Source organism: Homo sapiens, chromosome 7 (assembly GCF_000001405.40).
Source record: "Homo sapiens chromosome 7, GRCh38.p14 Primary Assembly".
NCBI classification, from domain to species: Eukaryota; Metazoa; Chordata; class Mammalia; order Primates; family Hominidae; genus Homo; species Homo sapiens.
The window spans coordinates 150620461-150640323 of NC_000007.14; the positions used below are offsets into that span (position 1 = coordinate 150620461).

Genomic DNA, 19863 nt, shown 5'->3' on the forward strand with positions numbered 1-19863 from the left:
CCCAGACTCCTTAGATTTTGATGAACACATAATTCTCTGTTCTAAAACTCTACTTACCAGAGGCCCTTAACTGGAACCGGTCCAGTTCCTGTTGAAAACACAGTTCAACCTTTGAAATCCAACCCAGATTTTGGTTAGACCTAGTCTGGAAGCTAGTGTACACTACACTGGACCTGGTCCAGTTCCTGTCAATCACTCAGCTCAACCCTGGATCCATTCAGAAACAAAACTTCTCGAATAAACTTAGAGAGCTCAGGATGCAAAATGCAGAGAGCTCAGGATGCAAACGCAGGATGCAAAATACAAAATCTGAGAGGGACTTACCCATAACCTCTAGATGCAGCAAGAAATTAGCACAATGGACTCAGCAAGTACCTATGCCTGGTTACTGACTGCATCTGGGGATTACAAGGGGATCCTTCAGATCTGATTTCTGACACCAAACTGGTAAAAACCAAGGCACAACAAAATTTTCAAGTTTATTTGAGTAACAAGCAATTCATGAATTGGTAAACACACAAACCAAAAGAGGTTCAGCACGCTGATGACAAAGCATCAGAGGCAAGTATCTATAGGATGAATGCAGAAGCAGAATTTAAAAATTATTTGATTGGTTGCTGTTATGAATTTACCTTTTCTCTTTACCTTGCTGGAAAGTTCATAGTCACATAATCATATGTTGATTGGCTGCTTATGAATGACTGAGATTAGGTTTTGTTTCTGTCTAAGAAAGACAGAAATGACTCAAGTTAAATTAGTTTACCAGAAATAACCCAAGTTAAGTTTTGCTTATGTTTTGAATTTAAGCAACATTAAAGCTATTTTTAATGCCTAGTTGGTTGGTTTTGTTTGCTCAGAACATTTTCAGGCCCACTCTCCACTTTAATTTTGCTTTAACAAGATGAATGTTGATGTTGAATTATTTAGCTGTGCCAAAGTGTCTGTTATAAATGCAGTATCACTAATTCTCTTAAGTTCTCTGAGTCACAGATAAAGAGCCTGGGATGACATTTCTTGTCATCCCTTTCCCCATATGGACCATATGACAGTCAGCCAACAAGAGGCACTCAGGTGAGATTTGGGAGGTGGATGAGAAAGAAGGAGAATCATTCTCTGGCAGTGACAGCAAAGACACAATGGGTGAACCACAGATGCATGTTACAGCAAAGGAGCATCTGAAAGCCACCAGCTCCGTGCACCAATGAGCTTCCCCAGGCCTGTGCATCCCCAGCTCTCCAAAGCATGTGACAGTCTCTAGTTCCCTGGATGGAAAGTACATCCTACTTTTAATACCTAAATGTGCTTCAGTTTTCCTAATTGACTCCTCTGTATCAGCAGAGGAACATGAAATGCTCTTTGGAAAACATGGAGGCAACATAATTTTCAGAAATAACAGACCCCAGTAGTCCTGGGTTATAAAATATGAAAATGAGACTACTTATATCACAAGGGATTTGTGCCAAATATCTAGCTAAAATTCTTATTTGACAAGTGTAAAATACTTTAAGATAATCTATACCACTAATTCATATTTTTGTCTTGAATTTACATACCTCACAAATTTTGAATATTTTGAGACTAAACATTGCCAAAGTCTTTGTAAGACAGTGTCTTACATCACACTTCTCATCTAGTGCTCAAGAAAAATACTTGTGAATTTTCCAATGTTAGCTCAATTAGTCTTTGTTATTATTTAAAAAGTCTTGCCTCTGTGGGCATTTTTTGGTGCCTTAATGGAAGACTTTTCATGTTTCCTATACATTTAATTTTTTAAGTTTTTTTCTGCCACGTTTTCCAACAAAATTTTCTGTAACTGAAGTAATAATTTATTGTACCTTCTCTCCAACTAAAAATGTTGTTTTGTGTGTGTGCAATAATCCAAGTTTTATTGCTGTCAGTCATAAGCTCAGATCCTGTTAAAACATCTTTAGTTTTTCGTTGTTGGATGTTTAATTCTGGCTCCAGGTGACTAACTTTGTCAATTCTGTTTTTGATTGTTGAGAGAAAGCTTTTTATCAAGCACCCTATGTATCTGCTGAAAATGTCTCTTCATAATAGTACACTCCATTATCTTTCCATTTTTTTAACACAACAAAAAAGGTGTGTGTTTTCTTTTGCTGTACTGTGGCGTATTATAATTACTATTAATCATGAAATTTGCAACATGTCTTCTGCTAATCTATAGTTCTCTTTCCTGTTCTAATTGTAGCACTAGCTTAATCATCTCCATTCAATTCTGCATCAGCATTATACCTTCACTTCAAAATTAAAACTTGGCTATACTTATTTTAAGCTAAAAAGTAATTTAATTGTATTATAAATAAAATAATAATTAGCATTTAATTTTAATTATCATTAACAATATAGATAGGTGTAACTATAACTCATGCTATCTACATAAAATATTCAAATAAAGATATTGTGTCCTGATAAAAAATTATTCAAATTGAATCAATCCATTGACACTGACTAGATCAGGGATATATTTATACATGGTGCTGAAAACAATCCATGTGGCAACACATTTGCAGTCCAATACAGATACATCTCTATTTTCAGATTTTTTCTTTTACTTCTTTTTTTTTTTTTTTAAGAGATGGGGTTCCACCATGTTGCCCAGGCTGGTCTTGAAATCCTGGGCCAATTATCCTCCAGTGTTAGCCTCCCAAAGTGCTGGAATTACAAGCGTGAGCCACCATGCCTGGCTCAGATGCTTCTCAACTTACAACAGAGTTACGTCCTGATAAACCCATTGTAAGGTGAAATATTGAAAGTCTAAAATGCACTCAATAAACCTAACCTGCTGGTCATTATAGCTTGGCAACAGTACACTGTAGGGTAGCAGTTGTTTACCAGAGTAATCGCGTGCTGACTGGGAGTTGCAGCTCACTGCCACAGCTGAGCTTCGTGAGAGGGTGTCACATGGCTTTCTACTGCATGCACAGAACTTTCATATCATCATCAAGTCAAGAAATCCTAAGTCAAACCCTCATAAGTCAGGGATGATCTGTAATATCTTAAGTGAGGCAACAGTTAGAGGTAAAGGTATTTCCACCAAAATAGTAAAGTTGTGTTTCATGGTAAAATATTTTACACTGTTTCAAAATTTAAAAGTAATGACAACTGAATAAAATTTAAAATTTAGTTTCTCAGGTGTACCCCTATATATTAAGTGCTCAGTAGCCACATGTGGATAATACCTACCTTATTGGATACTGTCGTTTCTAGAAAATATTCAAACGTGGAATTTTAATACACACTTCTACATAATCCATGAGTGAAAAAAGACAGCACAAGAAATATAGAAAGTATTTTAAAAGAACGATAGTGAAAATAGAATATTTTAAAATGTGGGCCAGGCGTGGTGGCTCATGCCTGTAATTTCACCACTTTGGTAGGCTGAAGCAGGAGGATTGCTTGAGCTCAGGAGTTTGAGACCAGCCTGGACAACAAAGTGAGACCCCATCTCTACAAAAACTAAAAAATTAAGCTGGGTGTGGTGATGCATGCCTGTGGTCCCAGGTACACAGGAAACTCAGGTGGGGGAATTGCTTGAGCCTAGGAGGTTGAGGCTTCAGTGAGCCATGATCATGCCACTGCACACCAGCCTGGGCAACAGAGCAAGATCCTGTCTCAAAAAAAAAAAAGATAAAAATGTGTGAGATACAGATAAACATGCACAGAAGGACATTTTATATCTCTATATTTATATGTTCGAAAAGAAGAATTTTTAGTAAGGTAAAGGATATTGTAGGTAACATGTTGTAGAGGCTTTGGATATTATATCTTCTGCAGAATATTGAGTTTGTTCCAACGGGCACTTAAATTACTGGTGGATCGCTTTTGCCTTGGGAAGGCTTGATTTTAGACATCATTAGCAAGGGTTTGCTTTAATTTGCTCTTCCTTCTAGGGCAAGTCTCTCAGTGCTGAGATGCAGTACTTACTCCTAAAATATGATCCTTTTGGTATTTCAGTGGAAATATACAAGTTTACCAAGGTCTTCTAACTTGATGGACTGGAACTTGCAATTCTCTTTGCTACTGTGGGCAACTGCTGACATCTCTGATCAGCTCTTTCAACCTCCACAGAAGTTTTCCTGGGATCCTCTGGAGAGTGCCCTGTGCTTGTACAGTTCAGGGTCAGCCAAGGATTTGAAGGGAGAAATGCAGAGCTTTTGGTACCCAGCCCGCAAATCCCCACCACTCCATCTCCCCGCTCTGCAGCTCTTTTATTTTGGGGAGCTCCCATGTAAATTTTTACCTGCTCTGGTTGTCCCAGGCTCCACCCTCCCACCCTCCAGGCCACTGTGAACATCTGGTGTGTGCCATGTCTGCATCCACACGACTGAATACTGCCTTAATGTGAAAAGTCACACCAAGATGAGACTAGTGTGGTCCCCTCATCTTAGGGGTCAGGTTCTCTGCATGAGTGTCTACCTGCATTTAGCCATTTCCCATGCCTTCAAAGTTATTTTCTTAGTATTATAATTTTGAATTTTCTATGCACTTTATAAATGTTATCACAAAAAGGTTAGAGGCTGGAATCTTTCTGTAACACTCCACACCTGCTTTGATCCACCAAGGAGGAAAAACCCTGTACTGACTTAGCTCAAATTCTCCAAATCCCTGTTTTTCATCCTTCACTTTAGTGTAGAGATATTTTTAACAAACTCTAAAAGCTGCTATTATCACAGCTTTGGCCAAGACAACCCTCTCTCATCACCATCACCCCCCACCACTAATTTCTTACTGGTTGATAGACTAGAGTTTCTAGAACATACCCACACATGCTTTCCCCATTCTCCTCTGAAGCTGAAAGAGTGAGAGCTATGCAGAGACATCTATCCCTATTCCTGAAATGTCATGGGAGATATCTTTCCTGGTGCTTAGCAATAAAAGAGAGAAAACACCATATTTGAGGTAAATAAAAACAACATTTAATGAATGACATGTTTTGAGTGCCTTGCCAGTTAGTCGCTGAATGGATCTCATTTGGTCAAATGCTTGTGTTTTCTATTATGACATTACTTAAGCTAATAGAGTTAAAATAATAGCATCAAAATTTACAAAATTATCTCCTATCTGAATGAAAATGCAAATGATTCTAACTTTTACTTCAGTAGCTCTGGAGTTTCAAGTCTGTTCACTTAGAAATAAAATGGCCTTAATTAACTTATACTTGAACTACCAATTCCCTCAAACTTAACATAAATGTAAGACATTGCCAACTAGAATACCAATATGATTTTGGGGGGAAATTACAGAATGATTTTAACTCTCACATAGAAGAAAAAAATGCCTGAGAATAACAAGGTAAATATAAAAATGAAGACTGAGGCAAAAATTGGCTCCCACATTATAGTCAAAGCCACTGTAATCAAATCAATATTTTATTCATACAGGAGTAGAAAAGTAGAAGACATGAACAGAAATAAAAATTCTGACCAAATCTTAAGGAGTGTGAATGAGAACTGAATGTATGATAAATGTTGCATGTTCAGTTCAATGGGAAATTGATCGCTTATTTAATAAGTGATTGTGGCACAAAGGCTGTCTTCAGCAAACACCAAATAACTCTGTGCTCTGCTTTGAGACACTTTTCTGAATCTGTTAGCAAGAGAAATGCTGAAGCTTTCTCAGATGTCTGCTGTGTCTAGGGAAGATGGGGGATGGCTTCAGAGCAAGAGGCCACAGGTCGGCTGTGAGCATCTGTGTCTAGCTGTTGAGCATCTCCAACAGTGGATGAGTGTCCAGGTAGACCTGAGGCTGTGCCCTGAGATTTCTGATCATCTCCCAGCACTGTCTCCACCAGCTGTACTTCCCGCCCCTCTCGGGAGAAACTAGCTAAAGGCCCCCTGCTACGCAGCTTGAAGAAAGGAAAAGAGGAATATATTGGGGAGCAGTTTCCCCAATGCCTCCTATTATCTTCCCAAATGTCGGTCAACTCCCCAGGAGCATCTTGGACCTCAAAGGAGGTGGGGTGCACCCGGGGCACATCAGTCTCCTCTTGCTGGCAGGCAGCTTCCTATCCGAGGCCTGAGACAGGATGACATCCTACTCCCTTCTCATCCTGTCCAGTATCAGTACTTATAAACCCCGTCTGTAGGAACAGCCTTCCAGGAAAACATCATGGGCTTCAGAGTTCTCCCATAAACCAGGCAGGCTGCCTCGCAAGATGTTTAAGTCACTCTACTGCTTCCTTTGCAGGCCCCCTTTCTTCCCTGCCTCCTTGCATTGGACCCCCACAAATACTTTGCTAGGGAACCCGTTTGCACACGCAGACACCCCATCCACATGCTCCCATTATCAAGGGAGAAGGGAGGGGTGGCAGTGAAGGGCGAGGCAGGTTGAAAGTAGTCTGTGCCTTCTAGGAGCAGAAGGCAAATATCATGAGGGGCCATGAAACCCATGGAAAAAGGGGAAGTAACAGATGCAAGTCATCTCTAATCTAAGTCTACCTTGGTGGGGTGGTGTGACCTCCTCTGCCCAAGTCCACTTGCATCCCTAGGGGCTTCCATGTTCTGTAGCCAGGGCAAGGGACCACCTACTTGACCACAGTCTGACTTCTTGGATACCCTGCCCCAAACTTCTCCCATCATTCCCACTAGGAAGTTCCAACGGGGCTTGTTTGTTACAGCTCAAGAGTGAATAAAAGGGCTGCTCCTCCTGCCTCCATCCCTGTTCCTGCTTGCTCTCCTCCCAGCCCAGTCTCCAACCCTCCCCACCCAGTCTCCAACCCTCCCCATGTCTCAGCACCACTGCCATGTTCCAGCCACCAGACACAACAGGCACCTTAAACCATCATGGTGTGGGGAGAGATGAGAAGTCATCTGGTCAACAGCTTGCATGGAGTTGCCGCACCAAACGTGACTGCATGACTCCAATGCAGTCAAAAGCTGTGGAAGTTACACAGAAGTAAAAGATACAGGCCTGCCCTCAAGAAACTTTGGTTCTATCAGAGTATAGACAAGTAACTCATGAAAGGCAATGCAATGAGATAGAAGGTCCAATAGGAAGACAGCGTGCTGTTGGGGCACAGAGGAGGGAGGACCCAGATGTTCTGGAAGAAGGAATGAAGGAACTGGAATGTGATCTGGGCATGCTGGACCCTGTCCTCAAGCCCCATGCCCCTCTTCCTACACCAGACGTCATGACCTGGAGACTGGGAAGCACTCCATGGGATGGAAAGAGAAACAGAGGGCTGGACACAGGGGGGTGCAAAGGCTGATGGTGTCCTTGGCTCAAGTCCAGCACAGGCTCAAAGGTCAGCCTTCCCCAGCAGGCATCTGTGGGCTTCCTCAGATTCCTTCTGGATCTGGGACAGTCCTTCCAGCCAAGACTCCTCACCAGGCACGTCCTCAGAGCCTTGGCCCTGGCTTACTTGCCTTTCCTGTAGTTCTTTCAGCCGAAAGTTTTGCTGGGTATATTGGTAAGCCTTGTTGCTGTAATAATCTCCTTCGTTTTCCCACATAATGGCTTCAACTTTCTCCATGAGCTCTCGCAGTTGGGCCTCCTGCTCCTCCCCCTGTGCCCTGTTGTTGAAGCCGCAATGGCGCCGTGCAAGGGTCACATCCAGCCAGGCAAGGGCCTGGTTGTTGGTCTCTCGCACATAGTCTTCCAGGGAGCCGCCAGCCAGGTCTTCCTTCCGGGTGAACACCAGGATGGTGTGACCCAGAACCCCCACTCCAAAGACCTCCTGCAGGCGCCTGACCACCTGCTGATCCTCATCCGTGAACCGGCCCAGTTGTGTCACCAGGAGCACGGCGTGGGGCCCTGGGGCGGATAAGACGATGGCTTGGCAGATAGCGTCTGCCACCTCTGGCGAGACCTGGGGGGACAGAATGTTGGGTGTGTCAATCACCTCAAGCTCCTTCCCAGCCCACTCTCGGCTCCGTCTCTGGGAGGTCTTGGTCACGGGTCTGGTGCTGAGTTTAGACTCGAAGACGTCCCTGCCGAGGATGCTGTTTCCTGTTGCACTCTTCCCACTCCCTGTTTTCCCCATGAGAATGAGCCTCAGTCTCCTTGGGGTCTTCTGTTCTTTCTCCCTTAGACCTAGAAATATCCAAAGAAAGCAGAGGGAACTGGGGTAAGGGCCCATGTACCCCATCTTGTCATCACCAGGAGCCTCTGGGTGTACCCCCAGACTGCAGGGGCAGATTGTAAAAGACCAACATCTGCCCTGAAACCAGCGCTGGGCCACCATTCTGGGCCCACATCCTTGAAGGTGGGGCTGAACGTTCTCTCCCAGTGCAAGAGCAGAGCCTAGAAAGAAGAGCGAGACTTGGCCAATAGAACACCAAGAAACCCAATACCAAGGTTTTTAGATATGACTGGGGAAGAAGGCAGGAAGGGAATTCCCTTCTCCTGGCCTTGCGGGTCCCAAGACCCAGAGCACATAAAGAAGTGACAAGTAATAGCTGGTTTCCCAGTCTTGTCCCCACTGAAGACATTGATGTATCTCAGATGACAAAGCATGAAGCTGGCATGTGGCAGCATGGGCGTGGCCATCTCCTGAATCTCCTGGGCACCAACAGGCCTTGCTGTGGCCTGACAGCCACCCTTGGCTCTGACCCACGTGCCAATTCTAACTGAGTGACATTGGGCCCCCTCCAGCTTCCCCAAGGTGGCTGGAAGGAATTTGAATGAATGGGCAGAAGTCTGGGCAGTAGATCTTCATCCCCACCCACCTAGCCCAGTGCAGAGCCAGAGGAGACAGGAACCCCCATCTGAGCAGCCTGGAGCTAGCACACACCACTGGACTTTACTAAAGCCAAATGCATCACTTGAGCTCTGGAGAGGATTCTTAAAAGAATAGCTAACCTTGATTGCTATAACAAAAGGTCAAACAGGTGTTACACAGGTATTGGTAATGTCCCTATTGTAGTAGGTTAACGTGGCTTTTTCCAGATGGCTCAGGCCATTTAAGTTCATAAAGTAAAAGGTCATTCATATTAAAATACATAATGAATCACAAATCATTTCTTCTGGCCAGGAAAGGGCTGGGTTTCCAGCATTTGTAAATCCTGCCTCCCCAGGATGAATGACGAAGTTGAGCCCATGAAAGTTAAGCGCCTGACCCTGTGCAATGGCTTTTGGGAAAGGGACGCCCTCGATAAGGCAGAGCCCAGATCTGAGGCAGCAGCCAAGTACATTCTGCTTGTGCACAAGGCGCTTTCAAACTTACAACTGTGACAGCTCCACTTCGGAGTCAGCCAAACACCCATACAGGGTCTGTTGGCATCCAAGCCTCAGTCCAAGGCCACTTATTTTCGTCACACGCACTGTCAGCACATCCATCCTGAGGAAGAACATCTACCATGTGAAAGCATTTCCTTTGGGACTGGCATGGTGATTTAGTCATTGGTGCTATTTCTCGCCTCCTTTTATCTACCATACCTATCCAGGGGTCTTTTTTCTTATTTTTGGCTAGTGATAAGAAGGGCCCTACCCCAAAGGCCTCTGATGGTGGCTGAGGCGGGTAAATTTCTGTGACTGGGGGACGTCAGCTTCCTCTCCAAGCACACTATGGTGGTGGAGCTGTGTCCCACCTGCACCCCAAATGTTTCCCACTTGCTCCCCTCTCCTCATTCATTTTACCTCCTGACAGCTCCAGCACAGGATCCTGGGACAGCTCTTCTGGGGGATTCTCCTGGGGAATTTGTTCATATTCTTCTTCCTCCATCTACAAAAAAAAAAAAAAAAAAAAAATCATATGTTCTACTGACTTTCCAAATGAGTTTCAACAGCCACCTGCCTTTCGCCTTTCTCTTGCCAGAGGAAAGTTTTTTGCATTAGTTTAGGGTTGGGGTGGGACTGAGTGAGGCAATGGAAGAAGGGGTCTAAGACACTCTCTGCTGGCTTTAGGGACCCTATTTCTTTAGGGATGCTATCCCTCGCCCCCTTCATTGTGGTCTCCATCATAAGTTTAAGAGATTTTACAGATAAAGGTGCAACTGGCCTGGGAGCTGAGGAATGGATGAAATTTGGATAGACAAAGGGTCTGGAACTGTTCTGGGAGGTGGGGGGAGGTGGAGGAAGGGAAGAAGGAGGAGGTGGAGGAAGGGAAGCACAGAAGCAGGTGTGATTCTGATCCTGTGTTCCCTGGGAGCAGCAGGAAGGCCTGGTGTGCCTGGAGGACGTGAATGAGTAGGATGTTGTTGGGAGGGGCCACTTGGTGGGCCTTGGGGCCAGACTTTGGAGAAGACTGTGCAGTGAGGGTTACAGAGGACTGGGATTGCAGGGGCTGAGCTGGGAAGGAAGCCAGAGACCTCAGGGGAGAAGCAGCCACCAGTTAGCTCTGTCTGGGCCTCAGCATCCCATCAGTAAGAATGTTGGGCCTGAACTAGATGCCTGTGAATGTCTCTTCCCCTATTAAGGTCTCAACATACTTCATAACATTTTTTAGAGCAATTCTTAGTCCTTTTTGCAAATTAGGGCCACATCATTCCCAACCAGGAACTCCTGTCCCCTTTCCCATGACAGCAATGTGTCCTGGCTTCATAGACTAACACAGTTCTCTGTGCCAAGATCCCATAAGGTTCTCTCTGCTGGATTTTCTCTGTGGGACTGAGGAGGAAGTTGCATGGTCCATGACTGTTTTTCCAGATCATGTAGGACATTCACAACCAGATGAAACAGATCCAGATGAAGGGTCTGGGGTGTGGGGAAACCTAAGTCCAGGGGAACCTGATAGACATGTTTTTCTCATTGCCACATTGTTAGATGTTTGTTCTATTCTGTTCACCTGGCAAACACTCCAGTCCTCCCCAGATCCCAGAAGTATATATGCGGATATTGCTTTATGATTGGTAAAGATCAATTTTGCAGTGCTGGGCTGGGCATGGAGGGAGTCCAGGAAGGTCTGTTGACTTTCTAGGAAGAAAGAAGAAGCAGGCCAGGCGGACAGCCTTACTCAGACCTGAACAGCCAGATTCTGGAAGGAGTACAATATTTCACCTACCAAAGGGAGTTAGTTCTTCCTAACTGGTGGCCTCTCAATCTCTTTGTCCCTGGCTTCCTTACATCCCTGGTGGAAATTGAGGCAGCACTTTACCAATGTAATCTCATTCCTCCTTTAGAGAGAACGGGCAGGCAGCTTAACAGGAAACAACAGCCGGGTGGGACTAGGCTGTGGCATGCAGGAACCTGCACTGTGCCTTCGCAGGGTTCGGGGAATGGGTCTGCACGCAAGGCACCTCCCTGCCTCCTCCTAGACCCTCCCCGGAATGGCACCTCCCATGTTGGCCACAGTGTGCATTGTCTCCAACACAGAAGATGGAACAGATAGTACCATCCTTGTCATATTGCTCTGGAAGAAAGCAAAACTCAGAGAAGCATCTTGCCAAATATTAAACAGTGACTTTGTCACAAGGCAAAAAGTTCTCCAGACGTGTTGGTCACAGCTCTTTTTATCACATTACAAACCTGCACACACCACAGCACACACAAATACACAACACACACACATACACAAAACACATGTACCACTCACACACATGCAGGTGAACACACAAACACATACACAAACACAAATATACATACACAACACACACACAACACTCACATACACACACAACACAAACATCACACACACAAACATCACTCACACACATTCATGTTAACACATACAAACATGTAAACACACATGTACAACACAAACACCCACACATACACATCCAAATATGACACGCACAAATACTCAGACTTACCTCTGCACCAGCTCACAGGCAAGAGAAAGGACCACGTTTCTGGTCTCCCGGCCACGCACTCTCACGGAGGAGGCAGAGAAAAGCTTCCACAGTGTATGAACACAAGGAGGACAAGGCCGATGTTTGCTTATATTTTCAGCAAAATGTTTTCAGAGAGCTGGGCTGGAGACCTGCCCTTGAAAGAGCAGTGTCCGCTGGAGATGGAGGAACAGGAAGTGGGTAGGAGCACCGGCCTTCCTGAGTCAGAAGAGTCTGCTGTTGCACTTTGCAGCCTCGGAAGTAGAAAAAGGGAGGATACCAGTGGTGGGATTATTTTTATCCTGAGCCAGGATAACTAGAACTCAGAGCTTAAAAAGAGGCAGATGCCTCAGAAAGATTTGTGTCAGGAGGAGTGACTTTCCCTGATCTCTCTTTTCTGAACCCCACCTCTTCCCCAGGGAACTTCTATGCCTCAGTATTGGGGCAAACAGTCATTGTCTCCTTTCTTCCCCAACCTCTCCTTCCTTTAATAGTTTCTCTCAGGACAAGGTCTGACACTCATTACCTCTAAGGCATGAATCATTGGTAATTACAATTGTTACAGCTTCTAGAAGATCTGCACTATAAGAAAAGGGAAAATACAAAAGAATGTCTAAAATGTAGGATTAAAGAGAGCACTTGTTATGGGGGAAGAACAATATTTTAAACACAGGCCAAGGGAGAAAACACCTCAGCATCCTCAAAAACATGTTTTCTAGGACTTTACTGACAGATCTGATAACTGTGGCTAAAGGGAAGCCATTGAAGGAAGAAATTCAGAACATAGGAGCATAGGTGATGATATTGTTACCACATGATTTTAAAATGTTAAGATTCCCTAAAAAAATTCCACTCAATCTACTATAATAGTTCTAATTTTCTTTGGTTCTGTTCTGGTTGATAATCATGGTGTATTTATTAAAATTGTTACATAGTATGTGTGTGTGTACATATATATATCTTTTAATGTTCTACTTAAATTATTCTGTAAATACCCTGACACAATTAATTTTTTTTTTTTGAGACAGAATGTCATCCTGTCACCCAGGCTGGAGTGCAGTGGTGTGATCTCAGTTCACTGCAACCTCATCCTCCCAGGTTCAAGCGATTCTCATGCCTCAGCCTCCCAAATAGCTGGAATTACAGGCGTCCGCACACCCGGCTAATATTTTGTATTTTTAATACAGACGGGGTTTTACCATGTTGGCCAGGTTGGTCTCAAACTCCTGACCTCAAGTTATCTGCCCACCTCGGCCTCCCAGAGTGTTGGGATTATGGGCGTGAGCCACCGCGCCTGGTGTAACATGATTAATTCTTTTTTTTTTTTTTTTCTCGAGACGGAGTCTCGCTCTGTCGCCCAGGTTGGAGTGCAGTGGTGCGGTCTTGGCTCACTGCAAGTTCCACCTCCTGGGTTCACGCCATTCTCCTGCCTCAGCCTCCTGAGTAGCTGGGACTCCAGGTGCCCACCACCACGCCCAGCTAATTTTTTGTATTTTTAGTAGAGATGGGGTTTCACTGTGTTAGCCAGGATGGTCTCGATCACCTGACCTCATGATCTGCCCACCTCGGCCTCCCAAAGTTCTGGGATTACAGGTGTGAGCCACCACGCCCAGCCACTTAATTAATTCTTAAAAGTCATGTGTTGATCTTTACCATTCCATTGCCTAAGTGTTTAGAAAGTATTTAGAATGTTATTACTCCACCCATAATTGAAATTAACCATCTATTTTGAATTTTAATCATTTCCATCTTCTGCAAGCTGACTCTGGAGAGTTGCCCAGACCTGCAGTTGACTGAGCCAGGGATCAATCAGCTCAGCGTTTAGCCATGAGAATTGGGAAGTGTTTGTTACTGCAAGGTAATCTGGCCTAATCTAATTGATACAGCATATAAATCTGATGTTGGTTCTTTTGGTTTGTTTTTTATTTTTTGCTGACTCTCACTTTTGGTGATTTCTTTTCTGGAATTACATTCACAGTCTTTGATTGTGAACTTAAGTATGGAAATCCTTGGGATTGAAATCAAGGTGGCTTTACTCCAGAGAAGATTTGTGTACATTTTTATCAGGAACTGACAAGGGGGTGCTGGTACTACTAAACTGAGACCACTTCAACCCCATTTTCAGATTTCTGGCTTAATCCAGAAATTCCTCAATCTACAACTCACTTTACAACTGATTCCAAATTTAGGCTCCAGAGAGTATGGCTGAGAGCTTCATTTGCTCTTGGGGCAACCAATCTTCCCTTTGAGTTTATGGCTCTACTCCTGTTTCAGTTTATTTATTTATTTACTTATGTATTTATTTGGTTATTTAAAAAAATTTTGCCCACATGGTGTTATCCCTCACTTCCTGCAAGCCAAATAATGTAGTCCATTGTTTTGTTGAGGGAGGACTTCTCTATGCTAACACAGCATATTTACAAAGAATGTAATTCACAATCTCTGTTATGATCTTGTTTCTTTTTTTATTATTATTATACTTTAAGTTCTGGGGTACATGTGCAGAACGTGCAGATTTGTTACATAGGTATACACGTGCCATTGTGGTTTGCTGCACCCATCAACCCATCCTCTACATTAGGTATTTCTCCTAATGCTATCCCTCCCCCAGTCCCCCATTCCACAACAGGCCCCGGTGTGTGATGTTCCCCTCCCTGTTCCATGTGTTCTCATTGTTTGATTCCCACCTGAGTGAGAACAGGCAGTGTTTGGTTTTCTGTTCTTTTGTTAATTTGCTGAGAATGATGGTTTCCAGCGTCATCCATGTCCCGGCAAAGGACATGAGCTCATTCTTTTTTATGGCTGCATAGTATTCCATGGTGTATATGCACCACATTTTCTTTATCCCGTCTATCATTGATGGGCATTTGGGTTCATTCCAAGTCTTTTCTATTGTGAACAGTGCCACAATAAACATAGGTGTGCATGTGTCTTTATAGTAGAATGATTTATAATCCTTTGGGTATATACCCAGTAATGGGATTGCTGGGTCAAATGGTATTTCTAGCTCTAGATCCTTGAGGAATCGCCACACTGTCTTCCACAATGGTTGAACTAATTTACACTCCCACCAACAGTGTAAAAGCGTTCCTATTTCTCTACATCCTCTCCAGCATCTGTTGTTTCCTGACCTTTTAATGATCACCATTCTAACTGGCGTAAGATGGTATCTCATTGTGGTTTTCATTTGCATTTCTCTAATGATCAGTGATGATGACCTTGTTTTCATATGTTTTTTGGCTGCATAAATGTCTTGTTTTGAGAAGTGTCTGTTCATATCCTTCACTCACTTTTTGATGGGGTTGTTTGTTTTTTCTTGTAAATTTGTTTAAGTTCTTTGTAGATTCTGGATATTAGCCCTTTGTCAGATGGATAGATTGCAAAAATTTTTTCCCATTCTGTAGGTTGCCTGTTCACTCTGATCATAGTTTCTTTTGCTGTGCAGAAGCTCTTTAGTTTAATCAGATCCCATTTGTCAATTTTGTCTTTTGTTGCCATTGCTTTTGGTGTTTTAGTCATGAAGTCTTTTTTCATGCCTATGTCCTGAATGATAATGCCTAGGTTTTCTTCTAGGGTTTTTATGATTTTAGGTTTTAGGTTTAAGTCTTTAATACATCTTGAGTTAATTTTTGTATAAGGTGTAAGGAAGGAGTCCAGTTTCAGTTTTCTGCATATGGCTAGCCAGTTTTCCCACTACCATTTATTAAATAGGGAATCCTTTCCCCATTGCTTGTTTTGGTCAGGTTTGTTGAAGATCAGATGGTTGTAGATGTGTGGTGTTATTTCTGAGGCTTCTGTTCTGTTCCATTGGTCTATATATCTGTGTTGGTATCAGTACCATGCTGTTTTAGTTACTGTAGACTTGTAGTATACTTTGAAGTCAGGTAGCGTGATGCTGTACTACAAGTCTACAGAACTTTGTTCTTTTTGCTTAGGATTCTCTTGGCTATGCAGGCTCTTTTTTTGGTTCCACATGAAATTTAAAGTAGTTTTTTCTAGGTCGGTGAAGAAAGTCAATGGTAGCTTAATGGAAATAGCATTGAATCTACAAATTACTTTAGGCAGTATGGCCATTTTCACAATATCGATTCTTCCTATCCATGAGCATGGAATGTTTTTCCATTTGTTTGTGTCCTCTCTTATTTCCTTGAGCAGTGGTTTGTAGTTGTTCTCCCTGAAAAGGTCATTCACATCCCTTGTAACTTGTTTCCTAGGTATTTAATTTTCTTCATAGCAATTGTGAATGGGAGTTCACTCACGATTTGGCTTTCTGCTTGTCTATTATTAGTGTATAGGAATGTTTGTAATTTTTGTACATTGATTTTGTATCCTGAGATTTTGCTGAAGTTTTTTTATTAGCTTAAGGAGTTTTGGGGCTGAGATGAGGGGTTTTCTAAATATACAATCATTTCATCTGCAGAGACAATTTGACTTCCTCTCTCCCTATGTGAATACCATTTATTTCTTTCTCTTGCCTGATTGCTCTGGTCAGAACTTCCAATACTATGTGAATAGGTATGGCGAGAGAGGGTATCCTTGTCTTGTGCCAGTTTTCAAAGAGAATGCTTCCAGCTTTCGCCCATTCAGTATGATATTGGCTATGGGTTTGTCATAAATAGCTCTCATTATTTTGAGATATGTTCCATTAATACCTAGTTTATTGAGTGTTTCTAATATGAAAGGGTGTTGAATTTTATCGAATGCCTTTTCTGCATCTATTGATATAATCATGTGGTTTTTGTCATTGGCTTTGTTTATGTGATGGATTACATGTATTGATTTGTGTATGTTGAACCAGCCTTGCATCCCAGGGATGAAGCCAACTTGATCGTGGTGGATAAGATTTTTGATGTGCTGCTGGATTTGGTTTGGCAGTATCTTATTGAGGATTTTCACAATGATGTTCATCAGGGATATTGGCCTGAAATTTGTGTGTGTGTGTGTGTGTGTCTGTTTCTGCCAGGTTTCAGAATCAGGATGACTCTGACTCATAAAATGAGTTAGGAAGGGGTCCCTCTTTTTCTATTGTTTGGAATAGTTTCAGAAGGAATGGTACCAGCTCCTCTTTGTATCTCTGGTAGAATTTAGCTGTGAATCCTTTTGGTCCTGGGCTTTTTTGGTTGGCAAGCTATTAATTACTGCCTCAATTTCAGAACTTCTTGTTGGTCTATTCAGGGATTCGACTTCTTCCTGGTTTAGTCTTATCCATTTCTTCTAGATTTTCTATTTTATTTGCATAGAGCTTTTTATAGTATTCTCTGGTGGTAGTTTGTATTTCTGTGGGATCAGTGATGATATCCCCTTTATCATTTTTTATTGTGTCTATTCGATTATTCTCTCTTTTCCTCTTTATTATTCTGGCTACTGTTCTATTTTGTTAATGTCTTCAAAAAAAAAAAAAAAACCAGCTCCTGGATTCATTGATTTTTTTAAGGGTTTTTCGTGTTTCTATCTCCTTCAGCTCTGGTCTGATCTTAGTTATTTCTTGTCTTGTGCCAGCTTTTGAATTTGTTTGCTCTTGTTTCTCTAGTTCTTTTAATTGTGATGTTAGCGTGTTGACTTTAGATCTTTCCCACTTTCCGATGTGTGCATTTAGTGCTATAAATTTCCCTCTGAACGCTGCTTTAGCTATGTCCCAGAGATTATGGTACATTGTGTCTTTGTTCTCATTGGTTTCAGAGAACTTTGTTATTTCTGCCTTAATTTCGTTATTTACCCAGTAGTCATTCAGGAGCAGGTTGTTCAATTTCCATGAACTTGTGCAGTTGGGTGAGTTTCTTAATCCGGAGTTCTAATTAGATTTCAGTGTGGTCCAAGAGACTGTTTGTTATGATTTCCATTCTTTTGCATTTGCTGAGGAGTGTTTTAGTTCTAATTAGGTGGTCAATTTTAGAATAAGTGCTATGTGGTGCTGAGAAGAATGTATATTCTGTAGATTTGGGGTGGGGAGTTCTTTAGATGTCTATTAAGTCCTCTTTGTCCAGAGCTGAGTTTAAGTCTTGGATATTCTTATTAATTTTCTGTCTTGTTGATTTGTTTAATATTGACAGTGGGGTGTTAAAGTCTCCCACTATTATTGTGTGGGAGTCTTAAGTGTCTTTGTAGGTGTCTAAGAACTTGTTTTATGAATCTGGGTGCTCCTGTATTGGGTGCATATACATTTAGGATAATTAGCTCTTCTTGTTGCATTGACCCCTTTACCATTACGTAATGCCCTTCTTTGTCTTTTTTGATCTTTGTTGGTTTAAAGTCTGTTTTATCAAAGACTAGGATTGCAACCCCTGCTTTTTTTTTGCTTTTCGTTTGCTTGGTAAATCTTTCTCCATCCCTTTACTTTGAGCCTATGTGTGTCTTTGCACATAAGAATACAGCACACTGATAGGTCTTGACTCGTCATTCAATTTTCCACTCTGTGTCTTTTAATTGGGGCATTTGGCCCATTTACATTTAAGGTTAATATTGTTATGTGTGAGTTTGATACTATCATCATGATACTAGCTGGTTATTTTGCACATTAGTTGATGCAGTCTCTTCATAGTCTCACTGGTCTTTATATTTTGGTGTGTTTTTGCAGTGCTCATACCAGTTTCTCCTTTCCATATTTAGTGCATCCTTAAATAGCTCTTGTAAGTCAGACCTGGTGGGAACAAAATCCCTCAACATTTGCTTCTCTGTAAAGGATTTTATTTCTCCTTCACTTATGAAGGTTAGTTTGGCTGGATATGAAATTCTGGGTTGAAAATTCTTTTATTTCAGAATGTTGAATATTGGTCCCCACTCTGTTCTGGCTTGTAGGGTTTCTGCAGAGATCCACTTTTAGTCCAATGGGCTTCCCTTTGTAGGTAATCTGACCTTCCTCTCTGGCTGCCCTTAACATTTTTTCCTTCATTTTAACCTTGGAGAATCTGATGACTATGTGTCTTGGGGTTGCTCTTGTCAAGGAGTGTCTTAGTGGTGTTCTTTCTATTTTTTGAATTTGAACGTTGGCCTGTCTTGCTAGGTTGGGGATGTTCTGGATAATATCCTGAAGCGTGTTTTCAACTTGGTTGCATTCTCCCTGTTACTTTCAGGGACCCCAGTCAATCCTATATTTGGTCTTTTCAGATAGTCCCATATTTCTTGGAGGCTTTGTTTCTTTTCAAATCTTGTCTTCACACCTCACTTCAGTAAGTTGATCTTCCATGTCTAATATCCTTTCCTCTGCTTGATTGATTCAGCTAATCAATCCCTTTTTAATTGAGTGTTTTTATATGAACAGTGCCTTATCAGCATCTGTGAAGATGATCAGATGATTTTGCTCCTTACTTTTATTAATATGATTAATTATATTGTTAGATCCCCTAATATTAATTCATATTTCCATTACCAGAATGATCTTACTTCATCATGGTATATGAGTTTTTAATACATTGTTGAATTTTATTTCAAATATTTTTTAATTTTTTCATTGATACTTATAAGTTAAATTAACTACATTTTATTTAATGTGCATTGTTTATCTGGTTTGCATATCAAAGCTGTGACCACTAGTGAAGGCAATAAGCTGTATCTCGAAAATCAGAAGTAACATATACGCACTTGGGGGAATAGCTATACATTCAAGCACACAGCTATATTTTATCAGTCACACCTCAAATAGATAGAAACCTGTAATGAAAAAAAAAACATAGGTTTTAATTTCATACATGCCTCTTCTACCTGTAGGGTCTCAGCCAGTACTTCAAGTTGTCTTGAAGGCTTACAAGATCTTTGATTTACTGGCAAGGGATCTCAAGTAACATTGCATCAGACCAAAGAACTATCAAAAACTGTAAAGGTCCTCAGATTTTACCCTGTATGCAAGCTAACAAGTTAGTCTGCTGACAGTTTCCTGGGTACTAGCAGAAGACATGAGACTTCTGGGTCAGAGCCAAAGATAATTTATTACCCACAGAAATATCAGTGATCATGTATGCCAAGGTGGGTTTATATAGGAGTAGACTTCCCCAATAACCTCAAAATTCATCAGAAGGTCTGATGAAGGTCTGAGTTATTCATGCCCACTCAAGCACATTCATGTAAGTTAATAAATATCTGCGATGTAGATGGATTCTACTTAAATGTGGTGCTTCATTCATAGAAAAACACTCAACTTAAA

The 19863-nt window shown here is 42.0% G+C and overlaps 1 protein-coding gene across 3 annotated transcripts, besides 6 other annotated features; it reads right to left on the minus strand.

The window, feature by feature from the left end:
- Positions 1087-1166: a silencer, noted in NCBI's record as "silent region_18781". NCBI's record gives its function as "represses an Ori minimal core promoter by ATAC-STARR-seq in GM12878 lymphoblastoid cells {active_cell/tissue: GM12878}" and the evidence as "EXISTENCE:reporter gene assay evidence [ECO:0000049][PMID:35858748]".
- On the minus strand, positions 4915-11925 carry GIMAP6 (GTPase, IMAP family member 6). Of its 3 annotated transcripts, none has more exons than NM_001244071.2 (3): positions 11709-11925; positions 9598-9682; positions 4915-7828 (listed from the first exon to the last, which is right to left on the minus strand). In NM_001244071.2, exons 2-3 carry the CDS (start codon positions 9680-9682, stop codon positions 7725-7727), a joined length of 189 nt encoding a protein of 62 aa, NP_001231000.1. In that variant the 5' UTR covers positions 11709-11925; the 3' UTR covers positions 4915-7724. The 3 variants fall into 3 exon arrangements, with proteins under 3 accessions (NP_001231000.1, NP_078987.3, NP_001231001.1); NM_024711.6 differs by having other exon boundaries at positions 4915-8052; NM_001244072.2 differs by having other exon boundaries at positions 4915-8262.
- Positions 8867-9067: a silencer, noted in NCBI's record as "peak6843 fragment used in MPRA reporter construct". NCBI's record gives its function as "represses an SCP1 promoter by STARR-seq MPRAs in K562 erythroleukemia cells {active_cell/tissue: K562}" and the evidence as "EXISTENCE:reporter gene assay evidence [ECO:0000049][PMID:32103011]".
- Positions 9087-9287: a silencer, noted in NCBI's record as "peak6844 fragment used in MPRA reporter construct". NCBI's record gives its function as "represses an SCP1 promoter by STARR-seq MPRAs in K562 erythroleukemia cells {active_cell/tissue: K562}" and the evidence as "EXISTENCE:reporter gene assay evidence [ECO:0000049][PMID:32103011]".
- Positions 11336-11415: an enhancer, noted in NCBI's record as "active region_26836". NCBI's record gives its function as "activates an Ori minimal core promoter by ATAC-STARR-seq in GM12878 lymphoblastoid cells {active_cell/tissue: GM12878}" and the evidence as "EXISTENCE:reporter gene assay evidence [ECO:0000049][PMID:35858748]".
- Positions 11686-11775: an enhancer, noted in NCBI's record as "active region_26837". NCBI's record gives its function as "activates an Ori minimal core promoter by ATAC-STARR-seq in GM12878 lymphoblastoid cells {active_cell/tissue: GM12878}" and the evidence as "EXISTENCE:reporter gene assay evidence [ECO:0000049][PMID:35858748]".
- Positions 11786-11875: an enhancer, noted in NCBI's record as "active region_26838". NCBI's record gives its function as "activates an Ori minimal core promoter by ATAC-STARR-seq in GM12878 lymphoblastoid cells {active_cell/tissue: GM12878}" and the evidence as "EXISTENCE:reporter gene assay evidence [ECO:0000049][PMID:35858748]".